The following is a 13,956-nucleotide window of genomic DNA, read 5'->3' on the forward strand; positions in this document are numbered from 1 at the left end:
CTTTTCTTTCTTTCTTTTTTTTTTTTTTTTTTGAGACACAGTCTCGCTCTGTCACTCAGCCTGTAGTGCAGTGACAACAATCTCGGCTCACTACAACCTCTGCCTCCTGGGTTCAAGTGATTCTCCTGCCTCAGCCTTCTGAGTAGCTGGGACTACAGGCATGTGCCACCACGCCTGGTTCATTTTTTTACTTTTAGTAGAGATGGAGTTTTGCCATGTTAGCCAGGCTGGTCTCAAACTCCTGGCTTCAAGTGATCCACCCTTCTCAGCCTCCCAAAGTACTGGGATTACAGGTGTGAGTCACCACTCCTGGCAGCAAGACTATTCTTAAAAAGTCAGAAAATAGCAGATGGTGAGGCCATGGAGAAAAGGGGACACTTATACACTGTCAGTGGGAGTATAAATTAGCCCAACCACGGTAGACAGCAGTTTGGAGATTTCTCAAAGAAATACAAGTTGAACTACCATTCGAGCCAACAATCCCATTACTGGGTATATTCCCAAAGGAAAAGAAATTGTTCCACTACAATGACACACACACCTTATGTCCATCACAGGACTATTCACAATAGCAAAAACATGGAATCGACCCAAGTGCCCAAGAACAGTGAATTGGATAAAAAAAAAAAGTGGTACATATATACCATGAAACACTACACAGCCATAAAAAAGAAGGAAATCATGTCCTTTGCAGCAACATGGATGCAGCTGGAGGCTAAGTGAACTAACACAAAAACAGAAAACCAAATATGGCATGTTCTCACTTATACGTGGGAGGTAAGCATAGGGTACTCATGGATATAAAGATGGAAACTATAGACATTGGGGACTATTAGAGGGTGGAGAGAGGGAGGGGGACACAGGCTGAAAAACTACCTATCGGGTATTATGCTCACTACTTGGGTGATGGGGTCAGTCCTACCCTAAACCATAAACCTACATATGCACCCCTTGATTCTAAAATAAACATTGAAAAAGGAAAAAAAAAAAGGAGAAACTCACTCTCTTGTAATAGAATCAGATATAACTAAAGTGCAGAGTGGTCAGTGCTATAATAAAAGCATTTTTTAAATGCACTGAGGAGATAATCCAAAGAGTGATTAATTCTGCCCTGGGGAATGTGGGAGAGAAGAAGTCGAAAAGACAACAAAGCACTTTGGGAGGCCGAGGTGGGTGGATCACCTGAGGTCAGGAGTTCAAGACCAGCCTGGCCAACATGGCAAAACCCTGTCTCTACTAAAAATACAAAAATTAGCCAGGCATGGTGGCATGCGCCTGTAAAAGCAGCTACTCGAGACGCTGAGCCAGGAGAATCACTGGAACCCGGGAGGCGGAGGTTGCAGTGAGCTGAGACTGCACCATTGCACTCCAGCCTGGGCAAAAAGAGCAAAACTCCATCTCAAACAAAAACAAAAACAAACAACAACAACAAACATATAAAACCCCACCAAAATATCATGACATTTGAGCAGTGGGTCTTGAAATAATAATATGATGCATACCTGAGTCATTTCTTAGTCTAAATGGCGAGGCTCACAATTTTTTAAAGAAATTATTTGACTCTAATTATCCTTTTTAAACTTTCCTCCCATTAGTCTACCCTAGGATATCAGGATAAGTAATTTTGCACTCTCCTTGGTGTTCACATCTTTTAAGTGTTTATAGATTGTTTCATGCTTTATCATCAGTTTGCCAAGCCCACCTAGCTTAGTGCCTTTCAATTCTTCTCCTGTGCCAGCTGCCTTTCTTCCATTCATGAGTGCAGCCTGTTCCTGACTTTCCAGCCCACATGACGCTGCTATATATTCTGAAAACAGATGTTCAGAAGCAGCCCTTTTCTAAATCTGAATATAAACAATTCCCTGGTATAGGGTTTCCTACCTTTCCAATGATTCCTGCCAGCTTAGTTCATTTGCACATTTCATTCCCAATCTATTTATCCCAATGTAATAGCTTAGTCACCAAGCTCTCATGCTAAATAAGAGCTCTTCAAATGCCAACCTGAACTCCTCCCAGTATGACTTGCTATCCATTTATTTTCATTCGTTTACAGTCTATTCAACCTTTCAGCTGGCTTTTCAACCATGAGATAGTGTCCATATAGATGTCAATTTTTATTAAGCTCCTAACTAATTTTAAAGCACTACACAAGCTGTTTTTCTGAAGTTCTGTACATCTGCTACTCTGCACTCCCACGTTCCTTAATGGTGTAATTCTCTAGAAATGACCTATCAAATATGATGAAGCTCATTGCTCATGATCTGCATTTTATGCCTCTTCTTTTCTCTTCCTGACCCAGGTCTGTGTGCTGGGACCACAATGACACTTAGTGGTCAGGCTAGAATGTTGGCTGGCCTAACGAGCCACTGTTATTCTTCACCAACTGTGGTGACTCCGTGGGGCACAATATTTTTAAAACTCTCTTTCCCCAAGATTCTCACCAGCCTAGAAATTGGCTGGCGTTCTGCTATTATTCTCATCTGAGAGCAATCAGTGAAGAGGTTTCAAGTACAGAGGCACAGTACATCACCTCCTTGAACTGCCAGCTTTGATTTAAGGACGAGAAAATCTTGAGCAGCCAAACAGAGCTCAAGGTTGAATTGTTTTACAAAAGTCTGACAATTTTGCCCAAATGCATCAATTTCTTTGATAGCATCAAATGATATTAACATGGCACACTATTTAAATTACAACCCCCAATATTCCTGACCTCCTTTTTCTGCTTTTTCTATTTAGCATTAGTCCCATGTGATATACTTTATATTATACCTACGTTTTATTTTTCTGTCTTTGCCTCCCCCCCTTTAATGTAAGCTCCATGAGGGAAGGGATTTTCCTCATGACTGTTTTCCTTTATGTTCAGTACCCAAAAAGGTGCCTTGAACATAGGAATTTCACAGTAGGTGTTGGATGGCTGAATGTATGAAGGAATGATTTTATATACAGTGCACATCAGCTTAATAAATTATTCTTTTTCTCTACTAGGCTCAGTCCACTTTTTTCTGTTTCTACTGATATACTGCCTTTTCTCTTCCTCATCTCTAATATACATTTGAATACTTCCTCCATATTTGTTACCTCTTGGAAACTTTTCTTGAACCACCGCAGGGAGGTCTACTCCCCTTAGTTCTCAATTTATGTTTATGTTGTTCAGTTTTTGAGGACAGCAACTCTTTCACATGAGGCTACCTTCTTTTCCAAATGCCTTAATATGCTGGGTGGTAAATGCTGCCAGAATTGTTATTTCTGCCACATCAGCACATGTGTCACGGGAAGAAAAACACTGTTTGGTTTCCAGATTTGAAGAGCAAAATGTGTATTATGCAAAATGGCGCTTTGTCTTTAACGGGAGTAGTTCCAGTTTTAAATCCCAGCTGCCTTTACCATCTATTTGACCCTAAATAGTTGTTAAAACCTTCTGATCCCTAATGCCTTCATCTATAAGATGAAGTTAATAATATTAATACCTTCCTTGCAGGGTGAATGTGGGGCCTGGGGCTAATATGTATCAAACCCCAGGCTTGACAGATAAGACATTACCACTAACTGGCTATTATTAGTGTTGTTGTTGTTGTTATTGCTACTGTTACTATTACTGTATCATTCCTCCTTCCTCTGATTTACCACCTATACTGTGCAGGAATCTCCACTTCAGTAGAAAAAATACATTCAGCTATTTCAATTTGGGATTAAATTTTCCATCCATTCGTTTATTCAACAAGCATTTTTTGAGAGCCTAGCATGTGCCAAGTACAACACTGATTGCAAGGAATACAAAAATGAATACACATTAGTCCCTGCACCTTCATAGCTTTCAGTCTGTGGAATTTATTTACTTATTCAGCGGAATAGTTCAACAAATATTTAGCGAGCATTGATTGAGTCCCAGCTGCAGTTATGGGGACCAGGAATACATGAGTGAAAAAAGAAGATGGGGATTACTTTCTAGTGGAAGGAGATGGAAAATAAACATAAATACATAAATAAGTGAATTCTGTAGTATGCTACAATGTGATAAGGGCTAGTGACACCTAGTGAAGCAGAGGAAAACGGACCCGGGGTGTTAAGTTGGTGGAGGGGGGGTTCAGGGGCCAGGGGATTTGCAATTTTTAAGTAAGGTGGTAAAGGCAGACTTTCCTGGGAATGTGACATTTGAGCAAAGACTCAAGGAAATGAAGAAATGAGCCACATGGATATCTGGGGGAAGAACATTTCAGCAGAGGGAATATGAGCAGAGCAGGGAGCAGGGGGCTGTTGTAACAGAGGGCTGCTTTAAAATGCCGTGGCATGGGAATGCAGGGTGCAGGAAAGAGAGATGTAGAAGCGGGGATCTTGGTTGCGTTTTCCACTGACCAAGTCTTAGTCATTTTCTATTATTCCTATGACTGAACTGCCTAGGTTCCTCCCTTGGCTAGAAAGGCTAGATCTGGGAACAATGAATGGAGAATGCGTGATGTGTCTGCTGACTACACCTAATCATCCACTTCCAAGGCTTTTTTTTTTTTTTTCTCACCTCTATGACTCTAGGATCCTTTATTTCAGTGGTTTTTGTACGCGACAGAAGAATGTTGCCGCCAGAAGTCTGAATTAAGACCCCGCGGACATGGAAGATCCCCTTTTGACTTTCTGGTTGTAGTCCCATGAGTCAAATGACAAAAAAAAGAGGTGGTGGTATTGGGAAAGGTTTCTGTGGTTGCCTAGGACAATAGGCCTGATATTTCAGGGAACATCTTTGTATTGGGAGGCATAGATGAAATGTTAGAATTTCCGTGGAGGCCAGGAGCGGGGCGGTGGCTCATGCCTGTAATCCCAGCACTTTGGGAGGCCCAGGCAGGTGGATCACGAGGTCAGAAGTTCAAGACCAGCCTGGCCAAGATGGTGAAATCCTCTCTGTACTAAAAATACAAAAAATAGCCGAGTGTGGTGGCAGGCACCTGTAATCCCAGTTACTTTGGAGACTGAGGCAGGAGAATCGCTTGAACCTGGGAGGTGGAGGTTGTAGGGAGTTGAGATCACGCCACTGCACTCCAGCCTGGGCAACAAGAGCAAAACTCCGTCTAAAAAAAAAAAAAAAAAAAAAAGAATTTCCCTGGAATCCCTATGCAGACTTTCATATCAGTAGTAAAGTTTATCTAATGGGGAGATCAGACTTCCTTGTCACCAGCCATTCAGTCTTTCTTCTTCAAGGGCTCTGACGGTCCAGTCAAACCACTAGTTTCTCCTCATAAACGTGTGGCTTCTTACCCCAACCAACTCCCCTTTCACGCAAAGTAGACGCAGATGACCTTGAAGTTCTGTATACCATGAATCTTTCTCTTCTGTGGTGTTTACAGTCACAGCTGAGTACCACTACTCGCCAATTCAGATTATTGTGCAAAGTTCACCAACTTTTTCTTCTTGGATATCCTAGGCCACTTTGCTTAACATACTTGAAGTAGCTAGCTTCTCTGATTGAAAATCAGACCAGTTTATCTGTAAATTCAGTCAAGGTTTTCACTGAACAGTTATCCTCATGTTTACACTGATTATTTTCTCAGTTTTTAACCATTCATTTTTAAGCAGGAAGTAATCATAGTTGGGCCTTTTTACTTGACTCATTGGATTTGCCAGACATGGAGAAGTTTTACGTTCTTTGATTAAAACTTCAGTCACATATTTTCTTTATGTTTTTTGCTGTTCTCCAATATAAAAGTTAGACTCTTTAAAAATATTTAGGAATTTTGCAGTCTCCTTTCTTGAAGTATAACTTACTACAGTAAAATGCCCAAATCTTAACTTATAAGCTGATTGACTTCAAACATATCTACATCCTCTTGTAATTACTCCTAGATAAAGATTAAGATAATTTCCATCAACTTAGAAAGCTTCACCATGCCCCTTCCCAGGCAATATTCCACCTCAGAGGAAACCATTGTTCTGACTTCTATCTCCATAGATTAGTTTTGTTTATTCTTCAGCTAAATAATTACATAATACAGTATGTATTTTTTCTGCCTTCTTTTATTTAACACAGAATTTTTGAGGTTCATCTACATTGATGTATTAGTAATTTGCCCTTTCTAAATTGCTGAAAGTATTTCATTGTGTAGATATACATGGTATTTATCCATTCTCCGATTGATGAACTAGAGAACTGTCAGCAGCCCTTCACTCTGGTGAAGACTAGAAAAACTTTCAATTTTTTTTCTAGTTTATGGCTATAAAAAAGCTTCTATAAATATTCTTAACATAAATTTTCATTTTGTTTATTTTTAAGATAGACACATGCATGTATTTCTCTTAGTTGCATATCAAAGAGTGGAGTTGGTGAGCCATGGGGTGTGTTTAATTCTTCAGGAGACTGCCAAATAATCTTCCAAAGTGGTTGGATTGTTACATATTCCCAACAGCAACAGAAAAAAGTTCCAGGTGCTCCTGTTCTCACCAACACTTGGTATTCTCAGTGTTTTTTTTCTTAGCTTTAGCTATTAAAATGCCTAATTAGTGAGAAAAGTGTACATTTTGATGCCCTTAAGGAAATATGCCTGCTACTGAACTCAGATAAGGAGCTGAGCATGAAAGGACTCAAAGGGAAAAAAGAATTCTGTTTAGACAGAAAAAAAAGTTTCAAGTCTGCAGATTTTTTTTATCAACATCTGAAGAGGGATGCCATGCCGTGAATTTTCCTTCAGCCATGAATTGTGATAACATAAGAAAATGAAAACACAAGCGAAATCTATTCACAAAAAGGTAGAATCTGGTGTGAAGAACCTTAACTGGCAAAAAGGAAGATTTAATTTGCAGTTATTTGAACTGAGCGTTCTTTTTTTGATCCTTTGATTTTTGATCACTCTGTTCTCTCTACGTGGGTGCTATTGCAAACACGCTTGTCTTCAAACTCCTTGACATAGCTATGTGTCATTCTTATGGGAAAATTTCCCAACTCTAACTTGCGAGACTGGCCCTAAATGGAACACGCTGTGCTATAAAAATGAAAGACACTTTATAAATGTATCTCTTCTAAGAGGTGTGTTATTTTGCATAAAATAGAGTTAACAAATGATCTGCTTTTAGAGTATGAGTTAACACTAAAATTTTAATATTTGTTCCAGTTTCATATTTTAAAATTATTTTCAACTTAGTCTTTTTGAGAATGTCATAGAAGAATACATTTATTTGAAGAATCAAGAAAAAATCCAGCCTACTCTACTTAAGAGTCAACGATTCTACTAGCACATTCCAAAAATGTCTTTCCTTTGAATCCTCATTGTATCTTATGGATTTATCACACATACTTAACTTTTTCTTTACAAACCTGTTTCTATCTGCTAGATAATGGCAATCTTGCTGGCAGTGATCATAGCCCATTCTCCACTCCCGGGGCCTGGTATGGGGTCTATAACATACTGAGTCCAGAATTGGTGGGTTCTTGGTCTCACTGACTTCAAGAATGAAGTCGCGAACCCTCGCGGTGAGTGTTACAGTTCTTAAAGGCGGTGTGTCTGGAGTTTATTCCTTCTGATGTTCGGATGTGTCCGGAGTTTGTTTCTTCTGGTGGGTTCATGGTCTCGCTGGCTCAGGAGTGAAGCTGCAGACCTTCGCGGTGAGTGTTACAGCTCTTAATGTGGCGCGTCTGGAGTTGTTCATTCCTCCCAGTGGGTTCGTGGTCTCGCTGGCTTCAGGAGTGAAGCTGCAGACCTTCATGGTGAGTGTTACAGCTTGTAAAGGCAGTGTGGACCCAACGACTGAGCAGTAGCAAGATTTATTGCAAAGAACGAATAACAAAGCTTCCACAGTCTGGAATGGGACAGGGCCCTAGGGTTGCCACTGCTGGCTCAGGCAGCCTGCTTTTATTCTCTTATCCGGCCTCACCCACATACTGCTGATTGGTCCATTTTACAGAGAGCCAATTGGTCTGTTTTACAGAGAGCTGATTGGTCCATTTTGACAGGGTGCTGATTGGTGTGTTTACAATCCATGAGCTAGACACAAAAGTTCTCCACCTCCCCACTAGATGAGCTAGATACAGAGTGCCGATTGGCGTATTTACAAACCCTAAGCTAGACAGAGTGCTGATTGGTGCATTTACAAACCTTGAGCTAGATACAGAGTGCCAATTGGTGCATTCACAATCCCTTAGCTAGACACAAAGATTCTCCAAGTCCCCACCAGATTAGCTAGACACAGAGCACTGATTGGTGCATTTACAAACCTTGAGCTAGACACAGAGTGCCAACTGGTGCATTCACAATCCCTTAGCTAGACATAAAGATTCTCCAAGTGCCCACCAGATTAGCTAGATAGAGTGCCAACTGGTGCATCCACAAACCCTGAGCTAGACACAGGGTGCTGATTGGTGTGACAAACCTTGAGCTAGGCAGAGTGCTGATTGGTGCACTCACAATCCCTTAGCTAGACACAAAGGTTCTCCAAGTCCCCACTAGACTCAGGAGCCCAGCTGGCCTCACCCAGTGGATCTTGCACCGGGGCTGCAGGTGGAGCTGCCTGCCAGCCATGCACCCGCACTCCTCAGCCCTTGGGCGGTCGATGGGACCCGGCACCGTGGAGCAGGGGGCGGTGCTCCTCTGGGCACGGGGGTGGGGGCGGGGGCGGGGGGAGGAGGGAGAGACTCAGGCATGGCAGGCTGCGGGTCCCTAGCCCTGCTTGTGGGGAGGCGGCTAAGGCCCGGTGAGAAATCGAGCACAGCAGCTGCTGGCCCAGGTGCTAAGCCCCTCACTGCCCGGGGCCAGCGGGATTGGCCGGCCACTCTGAGTGTGGGGCCCGCGGAGCCCATGCCCACCCGGAACTCGGCTGGCCCGCAAGTGCCCTGGGCAGCCTGGTTCCCACCCACGCCTCTCCCTCCACACCTCCCGGCAAGCTGAGGGAGCCGGCTCAGGCCTTGGCCAGTCCAGAAAGGGGCTCCCACAGTGCAGCGGCAGGCTGAAGGGCTCCTCAAGTGCGACCAGAGTGGGCGCCAAGGCCGAGGAGGTGCCCAGAGCGAGCGAGGGCTGCGAGGGCTGACAGCACGCTGTCACCTCTCAATACTAATTGATAATAAATGTTTCTGGAATGCTGAATTGCATGAAGGAAATGAGAGAAAATCACATAAGCTGCTTTCAAGTCCCGACCTCTGAGAACAATGCATATACCTTTGGACAGCTTATTAAAAGGAAAATTTCAGGATGTGTACAATGTTATTTTCTGTTTATTCCTGGACATGAACATAATATTTAATTAAACTCTGAGAGGTAATACTAATAATATTTGTGAGACTGTACACTAGCTATAGAATGACAAAAGTTACAGCTTTCATAATCTTTTCCTGTGGAATAACACATACTAACAGAAAATTGTTTGCTATTTTCCCTTTAGCAAGGCTAAGGTATTGTCCAGTGGTTTGGCCAGTGAAGTCAAAATATCCCCACCATTTACTTGGTGAAAACCACTGAATCAGTTTCTACGAGGTAGAGAGAAATAACCTCAGAAGCTAGCCTTATAGACTCAATTTATAAAGTCATGGTAAGTCTAAAACAAACAAACAAAAAACAAACAAACAAAAACCTCCCCACCAAATGTAAGAGAAATGAAGAAACAAGATTCCAGATTCAATTTATATAAGTTTTCTCTTCGAAAAAGTTATTTCTAAGAGCCCTGAAAATAAAAACCATTTTACCTAGTTATAGAGAAAATTATTTTTCCAGATTTTTTTGGCAGTGTTTTAGGTAGAAAAAAAGTTTTGTAATGAGATTCTCCTTCCATAATTATTCGTATCTGTGCATTTGGTAGGTACTGAACACACTCCACTGTATCTCAGAAGGGATCTACAGATAAAGATGACTCAGCACAAACAGTTCCAATCTGAAGCATTCAGAGAATCTCTTCTTTCCTTGTTCTCAGATGTTTTGAAATAAACATTGGCAGTGTTTATTTATGAAGGTTCGGGACTTTTTGAATGTGTCAGCAGCATGCCTTGACTCTAAACAGACTATGTTGCAATTTTTTTCCCTGATGATTCAAAACTATAAACTTAAAATTACCTAATTAAAAAGATACTGAACTACAATAAACTTGGACTACAACTTCAGTTATGTACCTTGTCTGAAATTAGATCATTTCAATAACCCCTCTTCATGCCAAAGACAGCGTTTCCTCTTAGTGCATAAACATCCTCTGAACTCTGACTGAGGGTTCTTTGTTGCTTGATCATTGTTGTTTTGAACGATATAATTTTAATTCTTTCCCTGTTTTGTTAAATTGAGGATTTTGGCTCAAATTTATTTTTCTTAATAGGCTATGAGTTACACGGAGAAGTAGAAAGAAAATAGCTCAAGAGAAGTGTCAACAAATACTGTTGGGGGGGTACTCAATTGTTTAAATAAGAATTTAAAGCTTAAGTTTATTGTGAATAATTCTCATTCTGGAGAGATGAAACGAAGAACCTATATATACTGCAGTCTAATGATAAATATTTAAAATCCAACGAGAAACACTCATCCGACATACATATTTCTAGCATTTTCCTGATGTTGGTAATGCATTAATAATGCTTCAATTGATTGGCATATATTTTGGTGGATAGGCCAAAAACAGGATGTCAATTGCTAGAAAGCAAGATGCCTTCTCTCCTCTATTTTCTCTTTTCTTTAGGTCCCATGAAACCTCAGCTTCCCTATTTGTTTAATGGAGATAATCATTCTTTCTTCATTTTTTCATAGTCAAATTGGCTGTAGAGTTCACCCAAAATGATGTCTATGGACATATTTAAAGATATCACAGGCCATAGAAATGTGTTAAACTTTTTTGTTAATGCTGGATAATATGGCCTGATCTCGTACTTTCTTCTTGTAGTAATTTTTACTTCCTCATTTTGCTCCTGTAAAGTATCTATGTTGAAGGGAGAATTGTGAGCTCACTCATCCATGAAGAAAAGAGGTGAGAGAGACTGAAACGGAGGCGAAGAGGAAGAAGATTATTATCCCTTATCTCTAACTTTTCTACAAGTATTTGCTTCTAGAGAGACATGAATAATAGTGAGAAAAGTAGGAAATTTCCTTTCTTTCCTTTTCTTTTTTGAGATGGCATCTCACTATGTTGCCCAGGCTACCTTTCAACTAACTCCTGGGCTCAAGTGATCCTTCTGCCTCACTTACCTGAGTAGCTGGGACTACAAGTGTGCTCCACTGCACTTAGCTTAAATGTCTTTTCCAATAAATAAATACATAAATAAAAGGCTGGAATCTATTTTTAAAAAATTTGTGTCAACCCAGAATACAATAAAGAGATAAAAGGTTTAAACAGTGTCTATATCTTCTGCCATCCCAAGAGCCACTTAAGAGGAATGCTAGAACTCAATAGGTAACAGACTGAAGATAATTATCCTAATCATAACTTCTAGGGGATTGTGGGTAGAAAGGGGGTGCTGGTGTGAAGTTATTGCATTTAACTTTACACAACCATACAGGGTAGTTATGTTTAGGCTGATATTACGAGAGCTAAAAGTGAAAGCCCAAGGAGGTTAAATTCCTAGGTTACAGTGAAACCAGTGTCCAAACTAAGATTTGTTTTTAAAGACTGTTCTCTGGCTATGGCAGAATCCAGTCACATACAAGGTACAGCCCCTAGCATTGTGGTTTGTGAAAAATAGATGCCTAACAATTGCATGTTGAGTCAGAGGTCACAGTAGCTGGAAAGGGTAATGGTGTTTGGTAAATTGGATAAATTCACTTTATATTGTTGATTTCTTTCTGTAATTTTTTTTTTTACTGCATCTGTAAGCTATCTGAAATGTGAGCACTGAATTTTATCTATTTGTCTTTTTGGTTACAGTAAGAAGTACAGATACTTTGCTCGGTTGGTGGAACAAAATTATAGATGAGATGTGTCAATATTGTGGTTGTCTCTAAATTTGTTTATGAGAGATTTTTGTAAAAATATCTTTTGCCTTGGAATAAAAAGAAGATAAAAAATTTTGATATTGGAGTTGTATGCAAATCTGCAAAACTTTCATCTATTATTGCCATGAAATTACTATGTTTAGAACAATCCTTAACCTACACTTATCTATGACATTGCCTGTCAATTTTATGAAATGGAAAGATGGCTTGGGTGACTTGAACCGCCGGTAAGAACGTCAGAGAAAAGTTGATTTCCTATTCTGACCGTAAGACCAGCTTATAAACTGTTCTTTAAAAACTACTCTTGGCAACTTCTGTTTTCATCCATGACAGAATAACTGGTACCAATCCATATCTCCTGCCAAAAACCAACTATAAAACTGAGCAAAATGCATGAGGTAACTTTTTCCAGGCATTGGAAAACAGTCAATGTAGTACTGAGAGCCTGAGAAGTTAGTGCCACGATGGGCTCTGCTTTCTCCCTTGGGGGCACCTTGCCACTGGGCAGGGAGGAGGAGCCAGGTAGAGTGGTGGTCTCAGTGACTGGTCTCAATATTGACTGGTGCAAGATATGTGGATTTGAAATCCCAGAGAAAGGGGCAAACGAGAACTGAGTAGAAAATGTATCTGAGAAGTAGAAACCAAAAAATACCTACATTTCAAAGGACATATCAACTTACAAATCCAAGAGGCTGAACACAAGGATAGCTACAAGTAAAACCACACCTAGGCATAACATATTCAAGCTCCTGGAAACCAAAGTTAAAGAGAAAAGTAATTATTAGTACGAAAGAGCAGTGTTACAAAAGATAGCTGCTTTCTCAGACAGTGGGGACTTAAATACAATGAAATAACACTTTAAAAGTGTTGAAAGGAGGGGAAAAATCTGTGACTTTAAATTTTATACTCTGATTAAATATTGTGATAGGCAGAATAATGGCCCCCTCCCCTCCCCTCAAAATGTCCACCATAGTCTCATCCCCAGAACCTGTGAATATGTTACCTTACATGACAAAGGGGACTTTTGCAGATGTGATTAAGGTTGCAGACTTTGGGATGGATATATTTATTCTGAATTATCTTGGTGGGCCAAGTACAATCACATGGGTATTTAAAAGAAGAGAATCTTTCCCAGCTGTGGCCAGAGGGAGACGTGACTATGTAAGAAAGGTCAGAGAGATGTGACATTGTTGGCTTTGAGGATGGCCATGAGCCAAGGAATGCAGGTGGCCTCTAGAAGCTTGAAAAGACAAGGAAATGGATTCTGTCCTAGAGCTCCCAGAAAGAACACAGCTCTGCTGACGCATTGATTTTAGCCCAGTGAGACCCAGGTTGGATTTCTGAACTGTACAATAATAAATTTTTGCTGTTTTGAGGCGTTAAATTTGTGGTCATTTTTTATGGTAGCAATGGGAAACTAATATAATATCCTTCAAAAATAAAGGTGAAATTGTACATATTTATGGGGTACAGTGTGACTCTTTGATACATGTGTACATTGTGTAAAATCAAATCAGGGTATTTAGCACATCCATTACCTGACACATGTATTATTTCCTTATTGTCATTAAAAAATAAAAATAAAATCTAAAGGTGCCGTGGAGACATTTTCACATAAGCAGAAGTTGAGAGAATTCAGAATTCATCTTTAGTGGACCCGCATTACCGGACATTTTCACAAAGCAAAAGGTGAGAGAATTTGTCACCAGCAGAATTAAGCTGTAAGAAGTACTCAGGGAAGTTCTTCCACCTGAAGAAAATGAAATTAGGACGGTGGAATGGAGTAAATAGCATTGGAAATGATACATATGTCCTTCGTTGCTGTTGTTTCTGCATTAAAGATGGAGCAGCACTCTTTCCAACTCTCTACATCCCCAGTGGGTGCTGCAAGTAAGGGCAATAGCATGGACTAAAACTAAAAGTATGGCAAAAGATAACCCATGCCAAAAGTAAACATAAGAAAGCTGGCCTGGCTATATTAATATCAGACAAAGTGGATTGTCAGACCAAGATCATTACCAGAGGTAAAGAGGATACTTTCAGAATAATAAAAGGCCCAATTTATCAGTAAGGCATAAAACTC

This window comes from Homo sapiens, chromosome 3, assembly GCF_000001405.40.
Source record: "Homo sapiens chromosome 3, GRCh38.p14 Primary Assembly".
Taxonomy (NCBI): domain Eukaryota; kingdom Metazoa; phylum Chordata; class Mammalia; order Primates; family Hominidae; genus Homo; species Homo sapiens.